This window comes from Homo sapiens, chromosome 15 (genome assembly GCF_000001405.40).
Source record: "Homo sapiens chromosome 15, GRCh38.p14 Primary Assembly".
Lineage (NCBI taxonomy): Eukaryota > Metazoa > Chordata > Mammalia > Primates > Hominidae > Homo > Homo sapiens.
The window spans coordinates 22,580,986-22,606,786 of record NC_000015.10 but is presented as its reverse complement, the minus strand read 5'-3'; the positions used below and the strand labels follow the sequence as shown (position 1 = coordinate 22,606,786).

Genomic DNA, 25,801 nt, shown 5'->3' with positions numbered 1-25,801 from the left:
GGGCTCATGAAGATATTGCATCATGAGCTGCAGCAGTTGCACTCTTTTTGGATGACCTAAAAAGGGCTTATTTCTGAGGAATGAAAGGTTCCCATCGTTGACTGTGGATGTGGAAAACCTTTCCTAGCTTAGAGCATTTGTATCTACAATACATTTTAAAGTCAGAGTTCATGTTACCTGTTTTAATCACATGACTACATGTCCCAGTACACAAAAGGGCACTGGTTGGCATTCTTCTTAATGTATTTAGTGAAGATCATAACAAATCCTTTATGAGTTCAAACGTCCCTGGAACAGGCATACAGGCTCTAGTCAAGAATGAATTAGAGTGAAGGAAAGCTGTGTGACACCTGGAATTCCTCTCTGTTCACGGATATTCTTTGAGGCTTGAAGATTGATTTTACCATCTAGACCTCTTTGGCTAATACCTATTCTTCAACCACCTTGGTTACTCTGACATAGGAATTTACTTCCTTTTCCTTGAATGGAAAACACTTTAAAAAATAATAGAAACATTATTATAAACTAATATATGTGAGATACTTAGTTGAAACAAAAAGGAGTTTTAGTAGACGGTATTATACTATCTTTGAAAATCAAGGAGAAGTTTATGAAACTTAAAATGTGTACAAACTGCAGTGCAATCTACTGTTCGTGAATGTCAATGTATTATCAGGAAACGTGTCTATACAATCACAGAGTTATATTTTCTCACAGACTTCTTTACAAAGTGAAATATGTTTTTGTACCTCTGGGTTTCTGTTCGGGACATATTTTGTGCAATATTTATGTGATTGTGCCTATGCATGATGAATGAATGCATTTCAGTTATATATTGCCTAAATCGTAACTTGATGATGCTTGGGAAAGACTCAACAGTTAAAACTTCATGAAGTTCTAATGTCTGTGTTCCAAAACACATCACATTGTTAGGATGCAGGGAGATAGGTGTGTGTGCTCCCTGCGGTGGGGATTTCTAGTTACTAGATCATCTCCATTTTTAGCATTTGGCATCCTCATGATACTTCTATAAATATGACATTAACAGGAGAGCAACAATACGATTTTACCGATGGAATAACAGATTTGCTGGCATTCACTGAAAGAGTGCAAATATTCGGTCCTTGTGACTTCAACTGACTCTTCCAAATTTTATGAATGTATCAATGTATTAGATAAACCCAGTTTCAGAATGATAAAGAAAAAATGTTAGACCAAATAATGCGGCTAATTAACAGTGGTACGATTTGTAGCCCGTGGGTTTAAAATGCACTTAAAGTCCTGTTCTCGCCTTTTATTTTCTGAACTTGCCGCTTTTGCATTCTTTGAGTTCAGTTTAAAGACGGTTACTTTAAGAGCATTTTAAACCCTCGGGCTAGAAATCGGACCACTGTTAATCAGCCACATTATTTGGTCTAACGTTTTTTCTTTTATCATTCTGAAACTGGGTTTATCTAATACATTGATAAATTATTTCAAAGGTACTTTTATCGTTGAAATCACTTCACTTTTACCCTGATAAATATCAGTGACTAGGAATGACCTTCGGATAGCGTTTAGCATCTGTAACCAATCTGACAATAATGTGTTCATGAGGTGCCTATGGATTAAATCACACACTGGCATATTTAAGCTGAAGGTCAGTCTGGAAAATAAATTTACTATATTGACTGAAATACCACTCTTTGTGTAGGTATTTGTCATATATTTAAGAAAAAGCTAAAAAGAATGGAAATTGTATGACAATAACTTAAGTCTTTCTCCAAAGTGCATGCAGTCTTTTGCGATACCTCATTCAGCCGAGTATTTGTGCTCTTCCTCATTCGGTATAAGGCAGCTTTCAGTTTGCTTAGAAGGCAACATTGGAATGTTAGAGTTCATCAGAAACACAGAATTTTAAACTGTGAGTTCCACTGAATACATTTTAATTTCTGTAGGAAGAATCAAAATACCTATTTAAAGATGGCAATATATAATAATCATTTTAAAAGTATTTGATTAAACCTGATAATTTTCCAGAAATGAAAAAAAAAATCAGCTCTAAAACCAAAGCTGATTTTAGAAAATTTGAAAATGTAAATCAGCCCTATCCATAATATAGTTTCTCTAAAACTTAATTTTAAAGAGTCGTTTTAAAATAATATAACTATTAAAATATGTAACTGCTATCTTAATGTTCTGAAATAATTTAAAACATTTTAAAATATGAATACTGTAGTATAAAAGAAAGAAACAGTGGGAACGAAAAGCAGAGAAAGAAATGCCAATTCCAGTCCAAAGTTTTATTTGCCAAGTTTTCTTAGAATGAATTTTACCAGTTTATGAATTATTGTAAACAGAATGTGTAATGGAAATACTGAAAGATTTTTCCCTAGAGTGGCCTTATTGACTGCTGGTGTGATGCCACTGTAATGTAATAAATTATTAAGTTGTTTGAATGTGTTGTTTTTGCCTTAAAATTTTATTTTGCGTTTCTTGAAAACTATAGTATTAAAGGTATTGATACTGTGCAAATGCTGGGCATGCTTGGCATGAGATAATGTGTTTCATTTTTACAAAGTTGTAATATAACTATGCAAGTGTTTATTAAAAACCAAAATAAAAAAGTTATGGGTTTATTAAAAAACTTTTATTAAAGTTTTATAAAAAGTTATTTTATTAAATAACTTTATTTAAAAAAGTTATGGGGTGAAAAAGTTATGGGATAAAAATGTAAAAAAGTTGTGGCAAAAAAACTTCTGGGAAAAAAGTAGAAAAAAGTTTTATGAAAAGTTACAAAAAAAGTTATGAAAAATAAGTTATGGGATTTTTTTAAAAAGTCATGGAATAAAAATAAAAATTAAAAGCAGGCCCCTGTCAGCAAAGCCTGGAGAAGTGGGGCTGGAGTCTCCACCGCCACCATGTCCCTACCACCTCTTCCCAGGCACCCCTTTACAATTAGGGTAGCAGCACAAGACCTCTGTCTAATGGGGAAAGACAAACAGACCATTTGCCACCTTGAGCAGGGCTGAGTCCCTAAATTTCTGGATGATGATGATGATTGTTATTTAAGAGCCAGAGGCTGGTGGAGTTGGTTTGTTTGGAGGAGGCCTGATGGTCCCCTTACTCTCACCATGGCAACGTTTCCCTCAGGGGGGCTCCCATCTTCTTATTCAGAGAGGTAGCTGAGGCCGGAAAGCGGGGCTAACTGTGGACCAGCGAGGGCATGGGCTGCTGGGGTGGCCCACCTTCCCCGGTGTACATACTGTGTCTGTGTAACATTTTGTATATTCCAGAGGGTAGGGCTGCCCCTGTATCATACCTAGCAGAGGTTGGAGCTGGCACATGGGGAGGAGGTTCTAATAATTATTTGTGGCTGGGAAACTTATTTATTGCTAGCGTAGGACAGAGGAAGGAGGCGGGGATGGGGTCGTGGCTCTCTGGTGGTATGATCACAGCTTACTGCAACCTCCAACTCTTAGGCTCAAGTGATCCTCCCACCTCAGCCTCCCAGGTAGCTGGGAGTATAAGCATGCACTACTATGCCTGGCTAATTTTTAAATTTTTTTGTAGAGAAAAGGTCTTACTATGTTGCCAATGCTAGTCTTGAACTCCTGGCCTCAAGCAATTCTCCCATCTTGGCCTCCCAAAGCACTGGGATTACAGGCACGAGACATTGCTCCTGTCCATTAGGTTTTCTCTTTATTACTGTTTTGTTGTTGTGGTTGTTGTTTTGTTTTGTTTTGTTTTGTTTTTTGACAGAGTCTTGGTCTGTTGCCCAGGCTGGAGTGCCGTGGTGTGATCTCGGCTCACGGCAACCTCTGCCTCCTGGTTCAAGCAATTCTCATGCCTCAGTCTCTCGAGTGTCTGGGGTTACAGGCATGAGCCACTGCGCCCCTGGCTAATTTTTGAATTTTTAGTTGAGACAGAGTTTTGCCGTGTTGGCCAGATTGGTCTTGAACTCCTGCCTCAAACAATCCGCCCTCCTCAGCCTCCCAAAGTGCTGGGATTACAGGGGTGAGCCACTGCTCCTGGCTAAGATCCCATCTCTATTTAAATAAAAAAAGAAAATTCAGAGCATGTGGAATACAGAACACCAAAGTCCAAAGTTATTTACCTCTCTGAGGTAATCTGTGTAAACAATTTGAAATATATCTTTTCAAGTTCATGCTTGCTATGCATATACATACATATACACACATACGTTGACATAGTCCCCCTTCCCTGCTGTCATGCTATTAGAGTCTTCTTTTTTTTGTAGAAATTGGACCAACTCTATGTTCTTTGCTGGCCCATATTTCTCCTATTCAGTGATGTGTTACAAATGTGTGTTTAAGTCAATGTATGCAACTCTTCAATATCATTTTAAAAGGTTAAATATACGATCATATGAAGGCATTAGAATTTATTCCAACAGTTCCATTTTGCACATTTAATAATTTCCATTGGTTTGCCAGGGAGAACATTCTCATGCCATGGCTAAATCCTTTTGTACGGCCATCCTTAACTATTCCCTGAAGATAAACTTTTAAATAAAGTTGCTAGATGAGTCTCATTTCTTAAAAAGTTCTTTTTTGGTAGTTTATATGTAACACTGTAGTTTTATATGTACTTGCAAATAGCTATAGTGCCAGTAAAAAATGTGATAAAATTAAACTCACGTATGCCAAATATATTTTGATTTAGTGCTTCATTAAGTGCATGATTACAGTCTCTATATCTTTTGATTTACCTTTCTACCTTTACAATTTTCAGCCCAGATACTTAGAGGTCACATAGTAAATTAAGGTTTTCTTTTTATAATAATCTCCATCTTTCTAAATTTGGTGCGTCACAGTAAGTTATTTTTCGGTTGTTGAAAGCTGTGGCTCTGTTCTAAATTTGAGCCCAGAAATCATGCCACTTACAAAATATGCTTTGTCTTCCAACATCAGAGTGTCTGGTAGAAGGTGACTGTTCTTGGAATTTTAAAAATCTAAACAGGACAAGACAAGAATATGGAAAATATTTCTGTTTCTGATAATATGGCTGAGTAGGTACTCTGCAAAGCCTCTGTCATAAAATAGACATTCTGGATAGTCCTTGCAAAGACATATTTGATCTTGCCAAACAAAAAAAAAATATCCAGAATCTCTAAGAATGAAGATGAAGTGAAAATCAGAAGGGCTACTACGAGAATAATGGGGAAGCAGCCCCAGTTATCAAGGGATGTTTGCATGTGTTCAATAAAAAGTTTCAAACCTAAAAAAAGTTAAGAAAAATAATATAACTGCCCTACATACATACATCATCAACAATTTTTCATTCATGGCATGGCCAGTTTTTGTTTTGTATTTTTTTTTAAAGGTGGGCTTTTGCTGTGGTTGCCCAGGCTGGAGTGCAGTGGCATGATCTTGACTTACTGAAACTTCTGCCTCCCAGGTTCAAGCAATTCTCCTGCCTCAGCCTCCTGAGTAGCTGGGATTACAGGCACCCGTCACAACATCCGGCTAATTTTTGTATTTTTAGTAGAGATAGGGTTTCACCACGTTGGCCAGGCTGGTCTTGAACTCCTGACATCAGGTGATTTGCCCACCTCGGCCTCCCAAAGTGCTGGGATTACAGGCGTGAGCCACCACACCTGGCCACATCTTGTTTTGTTCCATTTGTATTCCCACTTCATTTATATACATTCCTTCTTCCTCTGAATTATTTTGAAGTAAAACCTATATATCATATCATTTTTAAAATTACCTTATATGTATCTGTAGAAGACAAGGAATTTTTAAAAATATACTCATAACGCCATTAAATATCAAAAAATTAATACTTTCTGAAAATAGCCACAAATCCAGAGTTCACATTTTCTTGACTTTCTCATAAGTGATTTTTTCTAGGTTATCTATTTCAATCAGATACCTGTTTGCTCATATTTACATTCCTAACTGAACAATGTCGGAAGAGGTACTTAAACCTGACATAAAACACAAATGAGCTTATGACCAAATGCTTAGTGCAAGAAAAAACTTCACACTGTAAGATGAGTCCCTCCAAATACAGAAAGGACCAGTATTTTAAGAGGTATGTTAACTAAAATGTTGCAGTGTATGGAGCAGAGCAGGAAGAACCTTTAAGTCTGAAAAGTACAAGTAAATTTCATAGTTTCCCTGGTCCTTCCACAACAACCTCTGGCATCTGTTTTTTCTACAATGGAGGTAACAGTAGCTCTTTCAGAGCAGGAAAAGGCTTACAGCAGTGCTAGAAGAGGGTGGTGGCTATATACAGTGTAGCTATTTGTATATTGTAACAAACCAACTTTTTTTTTTTTTTTTTTTTTTTTTTTTTTTTAGTCAATAGTAGATTTCTTTTGGAAAAATAGCAGCCTCCTGTCTGGGGACACCTGCAGTTCCACTAAGTGAACATTGGTGTCTGCTCACCTTTGCCTCTATTTCTCTCAATATACTGTCAAGCTGTTCCCTGATTTAGCAATTTTATATACTTTCTTTTTCTTTATTTTTTTTTCCTTTCCCTTTTCCTGAGACACAGTCCCGCTCTGTCGCCCAGTCTGGACTGCAGCAGCGCCAACATGGCTCACTGCCACCTTCACCCCCTGGCTGAAGCAATCCTCCTACATCAGCCTTCAGAGTAGCTGGGACTACCCGCCGGGCCCACCAGGCCAGGCTAATCTTTATGGTTTTTGTTTTGTTTTTCCATTAAGAGACCTGGTGTCGGGTCAGGCGCAGTGACTCATGCCTGCAATCCCAGCACCCCAGAAGGCGGAGTCCGGCAGATCACCTGAGGTGAGGAGCAGGAGACCAGCCCGAGTAACATGGAGAAACCCAGTCTCTACCAAAAAAATAAAAAAATAAAAAACTAACTTGGCATGGTGGCTCACGCCTGCAATCCCAGCCACTCAGGAGGCTAAGGCAGGAGGACCACCCAAACCCGGGAGATGGAGGCCGCAGGGAGCCGAGACCGTGCCACTGCACTCCAGCCTGGGCAACAAGAGTGAAACTCTGCCTCAAAAAAAAAAAAAAAAAAAAGAGACCGGTTTCACCACGTTGCCCAGGCCGGTCTGGAACTCCTAGGCTCAAGTGATCCTCAGTGCTCGGCCGTCCAAAGTCCCAGCTGGGATCACAAGCGTGAGCCACCAGGCCAGGCCAATCTATTCCTTTCTGATTAATAAATTGGGCCGGTCACGGTGGCTCACGCCTGGAATCGCACCACCCCGGGAGGCCGAGGCGGGTGGATAACCTGAGGTCGGGAGTTTGAGACCAGCCTGACCAATGTGGAGAATACTCGTCTATACTAAAAAAAAAAAATAAAAAAATACAAAGTTAGCAGGTATGGTGGTTCACACCTGCAATCCCAGCCACTCGGGAGGCTGAGGCAGGAGAACCACCCAAACCCAGGAGGCAGAGGCCCAGTGAGCTGAGTCCACGCCACTGCACTCCAGCCTGGGCAACAAGAGCGAAACTCTACCTCAAAAAAAAAAAAAAAAAAAAAAAAAAACAAAACCCAAAGCGACCGGGTTTCACCGTGTTGCCCAGGCTGGTCTGGAACTCCTAGGCTCAAGCGATCCGCCGCTCTCGGCCGTCCAAATTCCTGGGATCACAAGCATGAGCCACCACTCCAGGCCAATCTATTCCTTTCTAATTAATAAATTGGGCCAGGAACGGTGACTCAAGCCTGCAATCCCAGCACCCAGGGAGGCCGAGGCGGGCGGATCACCTGAGGTCGGGAGTCTGAGATCAGCCTGACAAACATGAAGAAACCCCGTCTCTACCAAAAAAAAAAAAAAAAAAAAAAAAAAAAAAAAGCCGGGCATAGGGGCTCACACCTGCAATCCCAGCCACTTGGGAAGCTGAGGCAGGAAAACCAACCAAACCTGGAGGCGGAGGCCACAGGCAGCCGAAACCACGCCACTGCACTCCAGCCAGTCAACAAGAGCGAAATTCTGTCTCAAAAAAAAAAAAAAAAAAAAAAAGAGACCAAGTTTCATCATGTTGCCCAGGCCAGTCTGGAACTCCTAGTCTCAAGTGATCCCCCACGCTCAGCCATACAAAGTCCTGGGATCAATCGTGAGCCACCACGCCAGGCCGATCAGTTGCTTTATGATTAATAAATTGGGACTTGCGCAGTGGCTCACGCCTGAAATCCCAGCACCCCTAGAGGCCGAGGCGGGCAGATAACCTGAGGTCGGGAGTTTGAGACCAGCCTGACCAACATGGAGAAACCCCATCTCCACCAAAAAAATAAAAAAAGAGCCGAGCATGATGGCTCACGCCTGCAATCCCAGCCACTAGGGAGGCTGTGGCAGGAGAACCACCCAAACCGGGGAGGCAGAGGCCCGGCGAGGTGAGTCCACACCACTGCACTCCAGCCTGGGCAACAAGAGCGGAACTCCGCCTCAAAAAAAAACAAAAACAAAAAACAAACAAAAAAAGTGACCCGGTTTCACCATGTTGCCCAGGCTGGTCTGGAACTCCTAGGCTCAAGGGATCCAACACGCTCGGCTGTCCAAATTCTTGGGATCACAAGCGTGAGCCACCACACCAGGCCGATCTATTCTTTTCTGATTAATAAATTGGGCTGGGTGCGGTGGCTCACACCTGCAATCCCAGCACCCCGGTGGCTCATGCTTACAATCCTGTAGCAGGATTTTTAAGGAATTAGAGAGACTGATGGGGTTTAGGAGGTTATTAATTAATTATTTACGTGCATTGGCCCAGTCGGATTAACATTTAAAGCACTGAGTTCTGAACAAGACTTACCTTTTAAGCATTTTATGGGGTGGGGGTAGATCTGTGCAGGGTGAAGCATATGATAGAAGTGAGAAACAAAGATAATTGTTCAATTGAATCATGCATTATATTATTTTTTCCTTTTTTAGGAAAAATATGTTTTGTAACTTGAGTTTGTTTAGTGACCTTGCAGTTGTACAGTTAGGGAATTAGGGTTTTTATAATGCCCGGGAAGGGAGGAGAGATAAGGCTCACTGCCATAGAAAAGCAGGAGGTAGTAGTTTTTTTTGAAGGACTCTAGCTCTTCTCTTTCTCAGGGGGAATTGGGTTTTTTTACATACAACTGAGTTTTTGTTTACACATTTTTAAATTTCTTTTAATTCCTGTTCCCATCCCAGCACCCTGAGAGGACGAGGCAGGCAGATAACCTGAGGTCGGGAGTTTGAGACCAGCCCCACGAACATGAAGCCCCATCTCCACCAAAAAAAATAAATAAATAAATTAGCCGGGCATGGTGGCTCAGCCTGCAGTCCCAGCCACTCGGGAGGCTGAGGCAGGAATATTTTCTCCCTCCCTTAGATAAAAGATAGCATATACCATTGTGCACTTTGTTTTTTGACCTGGGGTGGGGTCTCACTCTGTCACTGAGGCTGGAGTACAGTGGTGTGATCTTGGCTCAATGAAACCTCTGCCTCCTAGACTCAAGCTGTCTTCCCACCCCAGCCTCCAGGGTAGCTGGAACCACAGGTGTGTGCCACCACACCCGGCTATTTTTTTTGTATTTTTGGTAGTGACTGGGTTTTGCCATGCTGCCCAGGCTGATATCGGGCTCAGGCGATCCACCTGCCTCAGCCTCCCAGAGTGTTTTCAAAGTGCTGGGAATTACAGGTGTGAGCCACTGCATCCGGCCCATTTTGCACCTTTTTAAACTTCTCTTAGAGATCACTTCATATCTGTTTATAGAAATGTTCTTCATCTTTTTTAAAATTAGTACTTTGTAGTGTGGATGTACCACTTTTTTATTCAGTTAGGTTTTTTTTGACATTTGAGTGTTAGGTCTTTTTTTCTGACATTACAAGACTAAAATATGAAAAGAAAAACTAGAAAAAATTTCAAAGAAAATTTACCTGTCTTTGTGATCTTGTTGTAGGGAAACTTTTTGTAATGGTTAGTATCCAGGATATGAAAAATAGCCTAATAATGAAAAGAAAAACTTAAGACAAAATGGGCATAGGATGTGAAGAGTTACTTTATAGAGGAAGAAACTGGAATGGTCAGTAAACATGGGAAAAGATACTTGAACTAGAAACTCATGGATAAATTGAAAGTTAAAATGACTATTCTGTCATCTTCAGATTGGCGAAAATGTAAGTCTGACAGAATTGCTGGCAGAGATATGGGCCAGTGGAAACTCAGCTAGGTAAAGTGGAGCGCAATTTTATAATCTCTAATGAAGTTGAAGATGCACATACCTGAGCAAAAAAACACATGTGTACAAAGAAATTTGGAAAACCTGTTTATCACAGTAGTATTTGCAGTAACATAAGATGATGCAGAATGTAAGTTAACCAACAAGAGATTGGATAAACTCATATCCATGTGGTGGAATATTATACAGCAATTAAACATGAACATACTAGATTGAAAAGAATTAACATGGGTAAATCTCATGAAGAAAACTTTGGGTGAAAAAGGCAAGCTGCAGAAGGATATGGGCAATATAATAACATATGTGAGTAGTTCATTTCCATATTTATGTTGTTTCAAAGGAGTTATCGGCCAGGCACGAAGGCTCACACCTGTAATCCTGGCACTTTGGGAGGCTGAGGTGTATCGGGCAAAATTCACCCCCGATATTTCACATAGTTTCTTTTCTATTTTCCCTAAGTGTTGGCCGGTCTGAGAAATAAAGGAACAGAGTACAAAAGAGAAATTTTAAAGCTGGGTGTCTCGGGGAGACGTCACATGTTGGCAGGTTCCGTGATGCCCCCTGAGCCGTAAAACCAGCAAGTTTTTATTAGCAATTTTCAAAAGGGGAGGGAGTGTACGAATAGGGTGTGGGTCACAGAGATCACATGCTTCACAAGGTAGTAAGATATCACAAGGCAAATGGAGGCAGGGCGAGATCACAGGACCACAGGACCGGGGCGAAATTAAAATTGCTAATCAAGTTTCAGACACGCATTGTCATTGATAACATCTTATCGGGAAACAGGGTTTGAGAGCAGACAACTGGTCTGACCAAAATTTATTAGGCAGGAATTTCCTCGTCCTAATAAGACTGGGAGCGCTATGGGAGACCGGGGCTTATTTCATCCCTCTGCTGTGACTGTAAAAGACAGTCGTCCCCAAAGCAGCCATTTCAGAGGCCTCCCCTCAGGGATACATTCTCTTTCTCAGGGATGTTCCTTGCTGAGAAAAAGAACTCAACGATATGTCTCCCATTTGCTTTTCAAAGAAGAGAAATATGGCTCTGTTCCGCCCGGCTCACCGACAGTCAGAGTTTAAGATTATCTCTCTTGTTCCCTGAACATTGCTGTTATCCTGTTGTTTTTTCAAGGTGCCCAGATTTCATATTGTTCAAACACACATGTTCTACAAACAATTTGTGCAGTTAACGCAATCATCACAGAGTCCTGAGGTGACATACATCCTCCTCAGCTTATGAAGATGACGGGATTAAGAGATTAAAGACAGGCATAGGAAATCACAAGGGTATTGATTGGGGAAGTGATAAGTGTCCATGAAATCTTCACAATTTATGTTCAGAGACTGCAGTAAAGACAGGCGTAAGAAATTATAAAAGTATTAATTTGGGGAACTAATAAATCTCCATGAAATCTTCACAATTTATGTTCTTCTGCCATGGCTTCAGCTGGTCCCTCCGTTTGGGGTCCCTGACTTCCTGCAACAGAGGTGGGTGGATCACCTGAGGTCAGGAGTTTGAGACCAGCCTGGCCAACATGGTGAAACCTCATTTTGGGGTGTGGTGGTGCATGCCTGTAATCCCAGCTACTCGGTAGGCTGAGGCAGGATAATCACTCGAACCGGGGAGGCGGAGGTTGCAGTGAGCCCAGATTGCAACACTATACTCCAGCCTGGGTGACAGAGCAAGACTCCATCACCAAAAAAAAAAAAAAAAAAAAAAAAAAAAAAAAAATCTCTTAGTTTCTGATGGTTTTCCTGACCATATATGTGATGCCGAAGTTGCTTTTTTGTTGTCACATCTATTGGCATCAAGTGCTGAACTTTTCATGGAGTGGCAATTTTTTGGTAATAAAGCAACTTTCAAAATGAGTCTAAGTTTATCTCTGGAAAAGTTTGAAAGAATCAGTGAAGGTTCTTTTAGACAGTACCCATGTTCTACAGATCAGCCATTCTCTGTCTCTCAAATTTTCAGTAAACCTTTCCACATAGGATGTCAGCACGATTTTAATACGTTAAATATATGTAAAATAAGGCAAATTAAGACACAACTCCATCAACTCTCATCTGCTCTGGGCTTATTTCTCTTCATAGTACATAACACCATCTACGTCATATACTTATTGTCTGTTTCTATTAGAGCAGGGTATTTTTGTTAGTGCTGTTAGTGTGCTCAGCATATACAGCAACACTTGGCAGACAGTAGGTGCTGAATGAAAGAATGAAGAAGAACAGAACTCATTTTACTAAAGACATTTTGATATCACTTTTGGGATAGGATACTATACATTAAAGATGATACACTGTTTATTCCAGAATGGTCTTAGCTACAGTGTTCACAGCACAGTATTTGTAGACTTAATGCTGTTATCCATTCTACCTTCCTTTGAGGTTGGCATGAGAGTTGCCCGTCAGCGTATGTGTGCTCTTAGAAATCAGGGACAATACTATCATTTTAAGCTTCTTGGCAGTGACGTGTACTTAACTAGATGGTGAACTCATAGGTGGATGGGGAGTATCTAATGCTTTTGTATTCTGCTTTTCAGCAAATAAATATTACCGTACTGTGTGTGTAACATGAGCTATGTAAGTGTGTGATGATTAAATTAGAAGATAGGGTTCTCTGCAATCCAGTTTTCCAAGATAAATTTTTGCCTTGTTTTTGTTAGGTAATAAAGGTACCATATTGACTGTTGATATATGCCTACTTAGTCATGCTTCTCTTGCAGTAATCTTATCAAATTACCAGCTTTTTACTTTTTTAGAGAGACAGTCCTAGAATTGAGAATCCTCCTTTGCCTACATTCAAAATGAGACTATATTATGTGGGTAGGAAATTTCTGGTGACCTACTTTTAATTTTTAAATTTAAAAAAATATTAGCATAGTTTTATATTTAGAAAACAGTTGCAAAGGTGGTATAGAGAGTTTCTGTGTACCACACAGGCACCCAGTTTCCCTTGTTGCTAACATCTTACATGATTATGGTATATTTGTCACAACTAACAAATCAGTATTGATATATTATAACTAAACTGCATACTTTTAGGGGTAGTGACCCAGTTTTAAAGCTTATTTCCCACAATTTGTTAAAAATGACAATCAGTATTGAGTGCCCATGGGTGGTGGCTTCCTGATTCTTCAAAGAAACTGAGTAATTTTGTAACCATTGGGACTTATCAGGAAATAAGGAACTCATAATAATGTGCGCTTAAATTTCCAGTGGAGGAATTGTACAGCTTAACATACGGTTTTGTAAGTTGGGTATTAATACATAAAGAGGCTGGGTGGGGTTTGATCACTATTAAAACTGATTTGTTTTGTTCCCTGGAAAATATGTTACTACCACATGGTCTACCCTTCATAGATAATCGAACCTAAGATCACTGGGCAGAAAAGGGTTGCCCTGTAGTAGGAAATGTGTCCTCCTGGGACTGAGTTGAGATTTAGTTTAGCACACAGAATAAGTAGCCAATGGCTGCTATGAGTCTGACTTCTATAATTCAAATTGGTATAAATTAAATCTAATTCTTTTCCCCAGGACTGCCCAATTTAAGATTAAGTTTTATACTGGCGCTTATTAGAGATATGGCCATTTTGCCATTTCAGTGGAACCTTTTAATCAGCTTTAATGCTGTCTTAGGTAAAGTAAAAACTTAATCTAAGGGCTTTTCTAGTTTGCCATCCTCAAAGCAGAAAAAGCAGCAATGAAGCAGCACTGCCTCATATAGACTCTGCTTTTATTAAATTTGCTTCAATAATCCTCTTCCAGTCATCTTTTGTGCTGCATATTTGAACCATAAAATAAGCAAAAACTGTACCCAAATGAAAATTTCAAGTTATTTTAATGAAGCTCTGGAAACATCCCAGAGCTCAGAAGATGTTTTTTCCTAGTTTATTTTTTAAATTCTGGAAAGTAGGTCAGTAGACATACCCTGCTTTAATTGGTTTAATTAGAAGTGAAAAATTATAGGACTAACTCAATTTGAAGTATAGATTTCAATAAGAAGAATTATACTGGGATGAATATTATTTAAGGTTTTGAATTTAAGATGCATTTAATCAATGCTTATAATTTCCTCTTGAAAAGATTTATATTGCAAAAAAGAAGACTAAGTGTTGGAATATGTCAATATATAGGGAAAAACTTTGCCATGAAATATAATATTTGATAAAATCATTTTAGAATTGTATCTCTAAATGGTATGCCTAAGAATATTGTTCTATAGGACCTTAATAGATATGCCTCGGGGGAAAAAAGTATTGTGTGCTCAAGTGAGTTTGAGATATACTGCATTAAATATAAGAAGTTGCCTGCAGGACTTCTCAGAGTCTTTAACACTTTCTGAATTTCTGAGACAAGATATATAGAGGGTACAGTACTTTGCAAACCTATTTATCCCTATACCACCTAGTAACATTTTTCAGGAAAATGTTTTGAGAACACGAATTTGACCTGTTTTAGGAATTTATACCTTTGACAATGTTGAGGACCTTGTTTTTTCCTATTATAATGATGATGTGATATTCACATATATTACTTTTTCCCAATTCTTTAAGATATTTTTCCAATGTATTATATTCAACCCTCTGCTCAGTGCCTTCCTTCTGCTAACTAAAGTGATGGTTTCCGTCTGTTGCTACACATCAGACATACTTGGCCCTGACCCTGGAGATTCTGTATGAACAGAAATGCCAGAATACCTGCTCAGGATTCTGTATTTATTACAAACACCCAGGTGATTCTGATGCAGCCAACACTGGTCCTCCAACTGATGCTTTGGAATTGTTGAACTAAAAGCATGCCTTTTTTTCTAGATGGATGAGTAGATTGGGGCATAGTTTGTGGTCCTAGAACACATGGGTTAACCATCCCTCCTAGTGAGAATGATAGCACAGGCCTCTGATGACCCCACGAGGTGCTGTGCTGGCTATAACCTAACATGAAACGATCATTATTCCTTAAGAAAAGCAGAATATGTCTAAATGGGCTTTTAGCCACCTTCCTAATAATGAAGTACCATATATATGACTACCATTTGTTTTAATTTCAAGTAATTCCCTTGTAGATGATGTTTTATTTATTCTTTTTTTTTTTTTTTTTTGAGACAGAGTCTCGCTCTTTCGCCCAGGCTGGAGTGCAGTGGCGCGATCTCGGCTCACTGCAAGCTCCACCTCCCGGGTTCATGCCGTTCTCCTGCCTCAGCCTCCTGAGTAGCTGGGACTACAGGTGCCCGCCACCGCGCCCAGCTAATTTTTTGTATTTTTAGTAGAGACGGGGTTTCACCGTGTTAGCCAGGATGGTCTCGATCTCCTGACCTCGTGATCCGCCCGCCTTGGCCTCCCAAAGTGCTGGGATTACAGGTGTGAGCCACCGTGCCCGGCCTATTCTTTAAAAAGAATATTAGATTATATTTTCTAAATGTGCCAAGTATCTAAGAATATATTCTTTCACCTCCTGCTGATAAGAGTTATACATTTAACCTTAAGCAAATCTGCCAAGATTCTATGTCATTTATGCTTTGATTTATGTGAGTATTAATGTAGTTTCTGTGACTATTATATGGTTATATATACCCTCCACCTAGTAAAACAGTTCCATATTCCTGGAAATGGTCTTTTACATCCTACAAGTGTAGCTGGAAAGGAATAATATAAATACTAATGGTTTGAGAGACAACTAGTCTTGACATGTCTTGGTTGAATAGTGTTCTATAAGCAACAATATATGAAATACTAGACATACCCATTAAAAGCAGAAAATACCCACTACTGTTTTAAAATTATTCTGCAAGATCTCATCAATGCAATGAGACATAAAACAGAAATAATGGGTGTAATTATTGAAAATTGGAGATAAAATTTTTATTACTTGTAAACAAAATTCTGTCAAAAACCTGACAAATTAAACAATACAATTAATATGTTTAATAGAACTAATTACATATGAGAGGCATCCAAAATCCATTTTTTCTATACAAACATGGTTTGATATACAGTCATTTTATCTGTGTATTAATTGGTTTATGAAATAACAAATAGAAAAATCAAGTATGCATTATCAAGTTAAAGAAGCAGGAGAGATGGAGCTATAAAAACAAAGAGAGAAGAATGTTGTAAGGAGGGCTTAACAACCAGGATAAATGTTGTAGAAAGATCAATTAAAGTGATGGCCTAGAGATCACGGGCTTCCTTTGGCAGAGCCATGTTGGTGAAGTGAAGGAAGTGGAAGCCAGACCACAATGGTTGAAGAATGAATGTAATGTAAGAGCCAAGACATTTATTTGAGTCTGATAGTAATGAAAAAGGACAAGAATTTTCTTCTTGCTGTTGTTTTTGTCATTTCATGTTCAAAACCCTTTATCTCCCATGTGGTACTGAAAACTCCAAGATGGGATCTCTGTTTCTGTGAGGCCTGTAGTGCTTAGTACATCCTTGAATGTGTGAGGCTCTCATTGGTATAAGTTTAATTCCTGACTGTGGATGAAAGCTTTAAAACTTTGCGGGCAAAATACAGAATGAATTTCAGTGAGTTCCCATGTATTAAACAAGGTGGCGCTGGCTGGAGACATGCTGTCCCTGTGCCCACAGGAGTAGCAGTGCTGTGCTCATCTTCCTGACCCGCTCTTCACAGTCTTCACCGCCTTTCTTCAGGAGTCTCCCCTTTGGCTTTTCCACAGCTATGAAACCCACGTAGTCGGACACCCTAATGCTTCTCCTGTAGGGTGTGTGATGAGGAGGTGAGCTTGGCTTTGGAGTGCTGGGAACCTGAGGAATTGCCAAGGACCCAGAGCCCAGCCCTGACCACCCAGAGAGCCCAAAACACAATGAACAAATTGAATTTCCACAACAACAGAGTCATGCAAGACCGCCGCAGCGTGTGCCTTTTCCTTCCCAATGAGAATCTCTGAACATCATCATAAATGTGAGTAGATCTCAATATAATTCTGATAGCTGGAGGATAGTGTATTTTCAGGTTTGCTGGAGGGAAAAAACTGGACTTTAAATAATTAAGACAAAATGATTGTATTAATTGACTTCTATTCTTAATCACTAATTTCATTTTTTATATTTCCCTTGACTTTTGGGGGAGAAATAGTCTTTGTCTCAAAAGTGGGCTTCAGTGACCTATGGGTTTGATAAAGCAACCAGAGATAATGAGACAAGAATATTTAATGGCAACATGCCAGCAATTATTATTAGTTAATTGAAAGCGTTTATGATTTTGGCCTGGGGCCAATGCTTTCCCCCTCTGCTGGACTAACATGTGGGTAAAGGAGAGGAAAAGCTTTGTTTCACTTTTTAAATAAAAGTATTACGTAACTTTGAAATTTGTATAAAATTAAAAGATAGTAAAAACAACTATTCTAACAGAATTCAAAACCTGTTATGCTTCAGTGGAGAGATTATTCAAGATAAGTCCGTGGGAAATTGGGAGTACATTTCTACTGGCAAAGTTAGTGATAACTATGCACTTCTGACAAAATGTGAAATGGGGGGTATGGGCGTGTCATATCATCATGGTGCAGATACGTGGATGTGTGCTTCCAAACAATGGCAACCTAACTGACTGCTGGAACCATACAAAATACCTGAAACTACTCAGAAAGAAGGTGAAAATTGCATGCAAAAATTATTTGAAAAATATTGAGCTAACACAACATGAATTTGGAATTATAAGTGAGGTATTGTAACTCACCTACAGATGTGTTTTTTGTAATCAATATTCATGGACTCAGACTACACAGTAAAAGCTTACATAGAAATCATTCTATCTAAACTTTCTGGATACGAAAGTAACCTAGTATGCGTTTTGCTACTATATCTTTATATGAATTTAAATCACATTTCCAAGTGGCTTACAGTAATCAAGGTTGTCACAAGGAAGATGCAAATTAAAACCACATTGCAATATCACTGCACACCCACTAGTACGGTTTAAAAGAAAAAAAAAACAGAAAATATCAAGTATTGGTGACAATGTGGAGCAAACAGAACTCTTTTTCAATAATGGCAGGTATGTAAAGTGGCACAAACACTTTGGAAACCTGTTTGGCATTATACTGTACTAAACCTGAACACACGCATTGTTTATGACCCAGGAATGCCCCTCCTGGGAACCAACAACAACGCATATATGTGTTGCATATGTTCACCAAAAGACATTTACAAGAATGTTCATAGCAGCACTATTTGAAATCACCCCCAAGTAGAAAATGCACAAATATTTAACAGTAGTTGGATAAAGTGTGGTACGTTTATGCAATATAATACCATATAGAAATGAGAGTGAGGGATCTGCAAACTAATATGCAACTGTACAAATGAATCCCACAAATATAATGTTGGGTGGCAGAAGCCAGATGCAAATGAATACATGCTGTAGATTTCATTCTTTTACATTAAAAAAGCTAGTCACACAAAGTTATGCTGTTAGAAGAGAGTGATTTGGTCGGGCGCAGGGGTAGTTACAGGAAGGGAGTACACGGAGATTTCTGGTTGTTAGTTATGTTCAGTGTCAATCTATGTGCTAAACAGGTACAATAAAGATTTTAGAATTCATCAATTTGCACACTTATGATAGATGCACTTTCCTGTATGTATATTTCAATAAAATCTTTTAAAAAGTAAAATGACAAAAAGACACTATTAACAAAAATGACATATTATATTAACTGTTATACTAAGGAAAATATAAAAATGAGTTCTATAACAGGGGCTCTGCAGGTCATGTGGTCATGCCAAGGACCATATGTGCTCAAGATTCTCATGACATTTTGGAAGGAGGTTGGGCTTTCTTTATCTTTCCTTTCTTCTCTCCCTTCCCTTCCCTTCCCTTCCCTTCCCTATTTTTAAACCTAGGTTTGGTATTTTCCTGGGGTGATGGTGACTTTGGAAAATTGGGCCGGGGCGGAAGTGAAGGCTGCAACATTCCCCAGAACATTGAGAGACTAAATGGACAGGGGGTGTGCCAGATTGAGTGTGGAGCTCAGTTCCTACTGGCGCTCACCAAGTCTGGAGTGGTGTGGACATGGTACGTAAACGTCCTCCCCGTCACAGTGTGCGTGCTTGTGCCGACGCGTGCAGGGAACTTGGGCCTCGCCCCAGGACCACCCCGGCGTGATTGTGACCTGTCATATTTTTACTTATGCATGCATCTTTGTCCTTTAAAGGATATTGAGTCGGGATTAGTGACAATAGTACAAGAAGAAATTTCCTATTGTAACTGGGTCATTTTGAAAATACTAGAAAAATTTTAGGCCACTTACCTTTCCTGTTTGGGCGAGATTTATAGGAAGTGTTTCTTCTGCTGAAGCCTAAGGATAAAATGAGAGCAAAATAGCCTTCTGAATCCTTTGATCCTGAGAAAGTTAACATGTATTTCTTGTAAAAGCTTATTATATTAATGTGCAAATGAGCAGGTGCCCAGACTGGCCTTGGATGCTGTGTCAGGCCTTGCTGCCTCTGGTCATAACATTGGCACTATTTATTTATTTATTTATTTATTTATTTGAGATGGAGTCTCGCTCTGTCGCCCAGGCTGGAATGCAGTGGCACAATCTCAGCTCACTGCAAGCTCCGTCTCCCGGGTTCACGCCATTCTCCTGCCTCAGCCTCCCGAGTAGCTGGGACTACAGGCGTCTGCCACCATGCCCGGCTAATTTTTTTGTGTTTTTAGTAGAGATAGGGTTTCACCATGTTAGCCAGGATGGTCTCGATCTCCTGACCTTGTGATCCACCCGCCTCGGCCTCCCAAAGTGCTGGGATTACAGGCGTGAACCACTGCTACTGGCCGACATTGGCACTCTGAGAAAGATGTATACCAGATAGGACTTTGGATAGGTGTTTGCAGTAATGTGTCTTATTTTCAGTCTATATGAAAACCTACAACAGTAACTTAAATATTGTAGAACATGTATTAAGGTATTAAGGTTTTTCCCAGCTGACTTAATAAGTTAATTTGAATTAATGGTGTATGATTTTGAATACAAGTTCGAAGACCTTGGGTGCTGTGTGTGATGTCATTGAGCTGGCTGTGAAAGATGTGAGACAATGAGTGTCTTCTTGTATAGCATTGTCAGACCACAACTATATTGTAACACTCCACCACGGGCCTCCTTCTCAGGGGAAAGGGGGATTACTTCAGGTTGCGCCAGGGCTCTGACGTGCACGTGTGGAAACTGTAGGTGGTGGAAGGGCTGAGAGGGAAGAAGATCGTGCATGTGGCTGTCGGGGCCCTGCACTGCCTGGCGGTCACGGACTCGGGGCAGGTAAGGCTGCAGGTGGCCTGGGGGTGGCGTGCCATCCTGACTTGGGGGACGTGGGGGTCACGACATGGCCCTCGTCCTGTTGAAATCACAGCTGTTGATGAACTCAGCCGAGTCTTACTGCTTGAAGAACCATGAGGCCGGGACCCATCCGTTTTGCCCGCTGGTGTATCTGCCTACTCAGCAGCAGGGGTTGGGGGCGGGGTCCTCAGAAAAGAGGCGTTCCCACTCTGAAGTCCACGTGAAAAGTGTGTGGAAAGATTGTTATCCTTTTTTTTTTTTTTTTTTTTTGAGACAGAGTCTCGCTCTGTCGCCCAGGCTGGAGTGCAGTGGCGCGATCTCGGCTCACTGCAAGTTCTGCCTCCTGGGTTCATGCCATTCTCCTGCCTCAGCCTCCCGAGTAGCTGGGACTACAGGCGCCCGCCACCACGCCCAGCTAATTTTTTGTATTTTTAGTAGAGACGGGGTTTCACCGTGGTCTCGATCTCCTGACCTCGTGATCCACCTGCCTCGGCCTCCCAAAGTGCTGGGATTACAGGCGTGAGCCACCGCACCCGGCCAAAAGATTGTTATTCTTGAAGATGCTCCTACTGCAAGGTATTAACAAGACTTTGCTTTAGGAAATTGCTAACTGGTGAGGAGGCACCCATGCCTCATTTTAGAGACAGAGCTAGTGCCTGACAAGTGTTACACTCTCTTCTGCTTGGAGAAGCATATGCTATGACCGGCTTGTAGATATTCAATTTAAAATTTTATTTATGAAAACAAAATTACCATTACTGTTTTTTAGTCAAAATGAATTATACTTTATAATTCTATAAGGCCAAGGAGCTACTTACTTGAAAAATGAGCATATTGTTTTTGGTCATTTTTCTTTGCAAAGTAAAAGGGAAAAAATTATTGCACTTAGTTGAAGAGAGGACCTTCTGTGTGACTTGCAACAAAGCAGAATTAATTTGATTAATATTAAGAAAATACTCCTTTTATGGTTATTGGCATTTTCATGGTTAGATTTTCTTCAGAATTATAGTACACCGATGCCATTTTGTAAGATTGTGAAATGGTTTGCTTTTACTTTTAAGAACTCAATTCTTTCAAATACCATGGCATACACGTTAAGCATTTTGAAGTAAAAATTACATTAAAGAAAATGTCCTGAAATGTTGAAAAATTATAAGCTTTTTTCTCCTCGTAAACAGGTGTATGCTTGGGGTGACAACGACCACGGCCAGCAGGGCAATGGCACGACCACGGTTAACAGGAAGCCCACACTCGTGCAAGGCTTAGAAGGCCAGAAGATCATGTGTGTGGCTTGCGGGTCATCCCACAGTGTGGCGTGGACAACTGTGGATGTGGCCATGCCCTCTGTCCACGAGCCCGTCCTCTTCCAGACTGCAAGAGACCCTTTAGGTGCTTCCTATTTAGGTAACACAGATTTGTATCCTGAGATTTTTCTGTAGGTTACAGCAACTTTACATTTATTTAATTGTGCCAACACATTAGAGGTTGTAGTGCTGCGTTAACTACATTATGAATCTAAAGACACAGAAGAATTATGGTGTGCGCTCATGTGATTTATACATGCTGGAATGAAAGTTTTAGAAGAAAGTATGTTGCTGATTCTTGTGTTTATGATCAGGTAAATTCACAGCGCTGTACTTGTGTGTAAACAGGACTCCTAATAACTGCCTGAGAGATACAGGCACTGTACTGGGCTCTTTTGTATTTTTTAACAGCTTTATTCAGTTATAATTGACATATAATAAACTGCACCTATTTAAAGTATGCATTTTGATCGACTTTGGAATATGTATGATCCATGAAAGCATCAGCACAATCAAAGATAATGAACTCATACACTACCCCAGCGTTTCTCTCTGGCCCTCTGTACCCCTCCCTTTTGCTTTTAACTCCCTCCTTCCTGCCGTATGCACCAATTTAATTTCTGTCACTAGAGATCAGTTTGCATGTCTGCTTTTTGTTGTTGTTGTTTTGTGGGTGTTTTATTTGTTTGTTTTCTTTTTTTTGTAGACAGGGTCTCACTCTGTTGCCCAGGCTGGAGTGCAGTGGCACGATCTTGGCTCACTGCAGCTTCCACCTCCTGGGCTCAAGTGATCCTCCCACCTCAGCCTCCCAAAGTGCTGGGATTATGGGCAGGAGCCACTGTGGCAGGCCAGTTTGCATGTTTTACAGCTTACTATAAGTAGAATCATACAGCATATACTCTTTTTAAAAATCTTACTTTTTCCACTCAGCATAATAATTTTGAGATTCACTTACGTTGCATGTATCAATAGTTTATTCTTTTAAATTGTTGAATAGTATCTTAAGATAAACAAATGCAATTTGTTCATCCATTTTTCTGTTGATGAATGTTTGGGCTGTTTCCAGTTTTTGACTATGCAAGTGAAATTGCTAATGGACATTTCCATACAAGTTTGTGTATGGACATCCACTTGAAATTCTCTTGGGTAAACTTCTAAGAGAGGAGTGGTTGGATCATATGGTACGTGTATGTCTAGCTTCTTAAGATCGCTACATACTGTTTTGCAAAGTGGATGTTCCAGAGGTCCACATCCTCCACATTTTTGTCAACCCTTGATACATTCAGTCTTTAATTTTAGTTATACTGACAGATGTATAGTGGTATCTCGTTGTGGTTTTAATCTGCATTTCCCTAATAACTAATGATCTCAAGCATCTTGCTTATTTACAAATCACATACCTTTTTTGGTGAATGTCTGTTCAAGTCTTTTCCCATATTTAAATAGGTTGTTTTCTTACTGGTTTGAGAGTTCCTTATATATTCTGAGTTACAAGTCCTTTGCCTAATATAGAATTTGCTAGTATTTTCTGTCAGTGTGGCTTGTCATTTTATTCTCTTCACAGGTGAATCTTAAAGATTAGAAGTTTTTAATTTTGATGAAGCCTAGTTTATTCATTTTATTCTTTTGTAGAGTGTACTTTTGATGTTGTGACTACAAAACCTTTGCCTCAAGATTATGAAGTTTGTCTTTCTATGTTCTGTTATAGAAGTTTTATAGTTTTAGACAGGTATATCTATGACCAGTTGATTAAATTTTATATATAGTGGGAGGTTCAGATTGAAAGGCTTTTTTGGGCATGATTGTCCAGTTGTTTCAGTTGTATTTGTTGAAAAACTACGCTTTTCCTACTGAATTGCCTTTTGCCTTTGTCAGAAATCAGTTGTCTATGGATGTATGGATCTATTTCTGGACTCCCAGTACTGTTTCATTGATTTATTTGTGTATTTTGGTGGCAATGCCACATTGTCTTGATTACTACAGCTTTATAAAAGGCCTGAACTCAGGTTGCAACAGTTTTTTAGCTTTGTTCTTTTTCAAATATATTTTGGCTGTTGCAGGCCCTTTACATTTCCATATGACTTAAAATGAGCTTGTCAGTTTTTATAAAACCGCTTGCTTGGGATTTTGATGTGGATTGCATTAATTCTGTAAGTCAATGTGCAAGGATGGATTCACAGTATTCAGTCTTCTAACCCATGAACATAGTGTTTCTCTTTATTTGTTAGGTGTCCAGTACATAATGACACATGAAGAGGCAAAAAAAGCGACTAAAAATGACCAGAAATGATAGGAGAGAAACAGACCCACAAGGGCTCCATATATTGGAGTTAGAAGACACAGACTTTAGTATAATAAATATGCTTACTGTGTTCAAAAAGATAATATTTCAGCAGAGAACCAAAAACTACTGAAAATAAAATAGAAAGACTAGAACTGATAAATCCAATATTTAAAATTAAGAACTTAATGAGTAAGTTTAGAACACACTGAACTCAGCTGAAGAGAAAGTAAAAATATCTGGAATGAAGAACTGAGGAGCAAAAGTTTAGAAAACATAACAAGAAGGTAAAAGATCTGCAGGACAGAGGTTAGGCCTAACACAAGTGAAAGAAGAGTCCCCCCAAAAAGATAGAAAAGAGAATAGAGCAGAGGCAAAATGTGAAGAAATACTGAAAGACAGAATTTTCCAAAACAGACAACAGATATCATGCCCCAGAAGCCCTACCAACCCCAAGAAAGATAAACATCTCCATGCACATGTAAAACCTGTGCCAGATGAAAACAAAAAGACTCTCTGAAAAGCAGACGAAGGAAAAATAAAATGAACCACAATTAGACTTCCATCCAACTTCAGGAGAAATAATATAAACCAAATTGCAATGGAATACTATTTTTAAAGTGCTGAAAGAAAACACCTAGCAAAAAGACTTTTCAAAAATAAAGGAGAAATAAAGACATTTTCAGACATACAAAAATAGATAATTTGTAACCAACAAAGACACATTTTTAAAAATATTAAGGGGATTTTCAGGCAGGAGAAAAACAGTATAGATGGAAAATTAAAGAAGAAGAAAAAAGTGGAGAGAAATTACAAAGTATGCAGAAAAATCTAAATCAATATTGACTACATAAAATCGTCATATGCCCTGCATGTATTGTTTGATCCTTTGACTTGTTTTTTTGCTTTTTTTGTTTTTTGAGACGTAGTCTTGTTCTGTCGCCCAGGCTGGAGTGCAGTGGCACGATCTCGGCTCACTGCAAGCTCCGCCTCCTGGGTTCACGCCATTCTCCCGCCTCAGCCTCCCAAGTAGTTGGGACTACAGGTGCCCGCCAACACACCGGCTAATTTTTTGTACTTTTAGTAGAGACAGGGTTTCACCGCGTTAGCCAGGATGGTCTCGATCTCCTGAACTCCTGATTCACCCGCCTCGGCCTCCCAAAGTGCTGGGATTACAGGCATGGATCATGAGGTCAGGAGATCGAGACCATCTTGGCTAACACGGTGAAGCCCCATCTCTATTAAAAATACGAAAAATTAGCTTGGCATGGTGGCATGCGTCTGTAGTCCCAGCTACTCGGGAGGCTGAGGCGGGAGGAATGGCGAGAACCCAGGAGGCGGAGCTTGCAGTGAGCTGAGATCACGCGCCACTGCACTCCAGCCTGGGTGACAGAGCGAGACTCTGTCTCAAAAAACAAAAACAAAAACAAAAACAAAAACAGGCATGAGTCACTGCGCCTGGCTGATCCTTTGACTTTTTTTGAAATTTTGTTTGAGCATATGACCCACTTAGCATATGACTGGATTTTATGAACATTTTCTATGTGCATAAAAGAATGTCTTCGATAGTTCTGTTAGATATATATTTGTATAAAATGTATAAAATTTTGGCTGGACGTGGTGGCTCATGCACATAACCCCAGCACTTTGGGAGACTGAGGTGGGTGGATCGCCTGAGGTCAGGAGTTCAAGAGCAGCCTGGCCAGCATGGTGAAATCTCACCTCCACTAAAAATACAAAAATTAGCCAGGCGTGGTGGCAGGAGCCTATAATCCCAGCTACTCAGGAGGCTGATGCAGGA

The 25,801-nt window shown here is 39.9% G+C and overlaps 2 pseudogenes across 1 annotated transcript in view; one reads left to right on the top strand and one right to left on the bottom strand.

The window, feature by feature from the left end:
• Nucleotides 1–15,955: 15,955 nt before the first annotated feature.
• Nucleotides 15,956–25,801, bottom strand: part of HERC2P2 (HERC2 pseudogene 2) — a 95,995-nt pseudogene continuing 86,149 nt past the window's right edge. Inside the window, exons 34-35 of the transcript NR_002824.3 lie at nucleotides 19,396–19,443; nucleotides 15,956–16,844 (exon numbers count right to left, since the gene is read on the bottom strand). The product of NR_002824.3 is annotated as an HERC2 pseudogene 2 (transcript). The remainder of the gene's footprint in view (nucleotides 16,845–19,395; nucleotides 19,444–25,801) is intronic.
• Nucleotides 18,987–21,820, top strand: LOC100419579 (HECT and RLD domain containing E3 ubiquitin protein ligase 2 pseudogene; annotated as a pseudogene).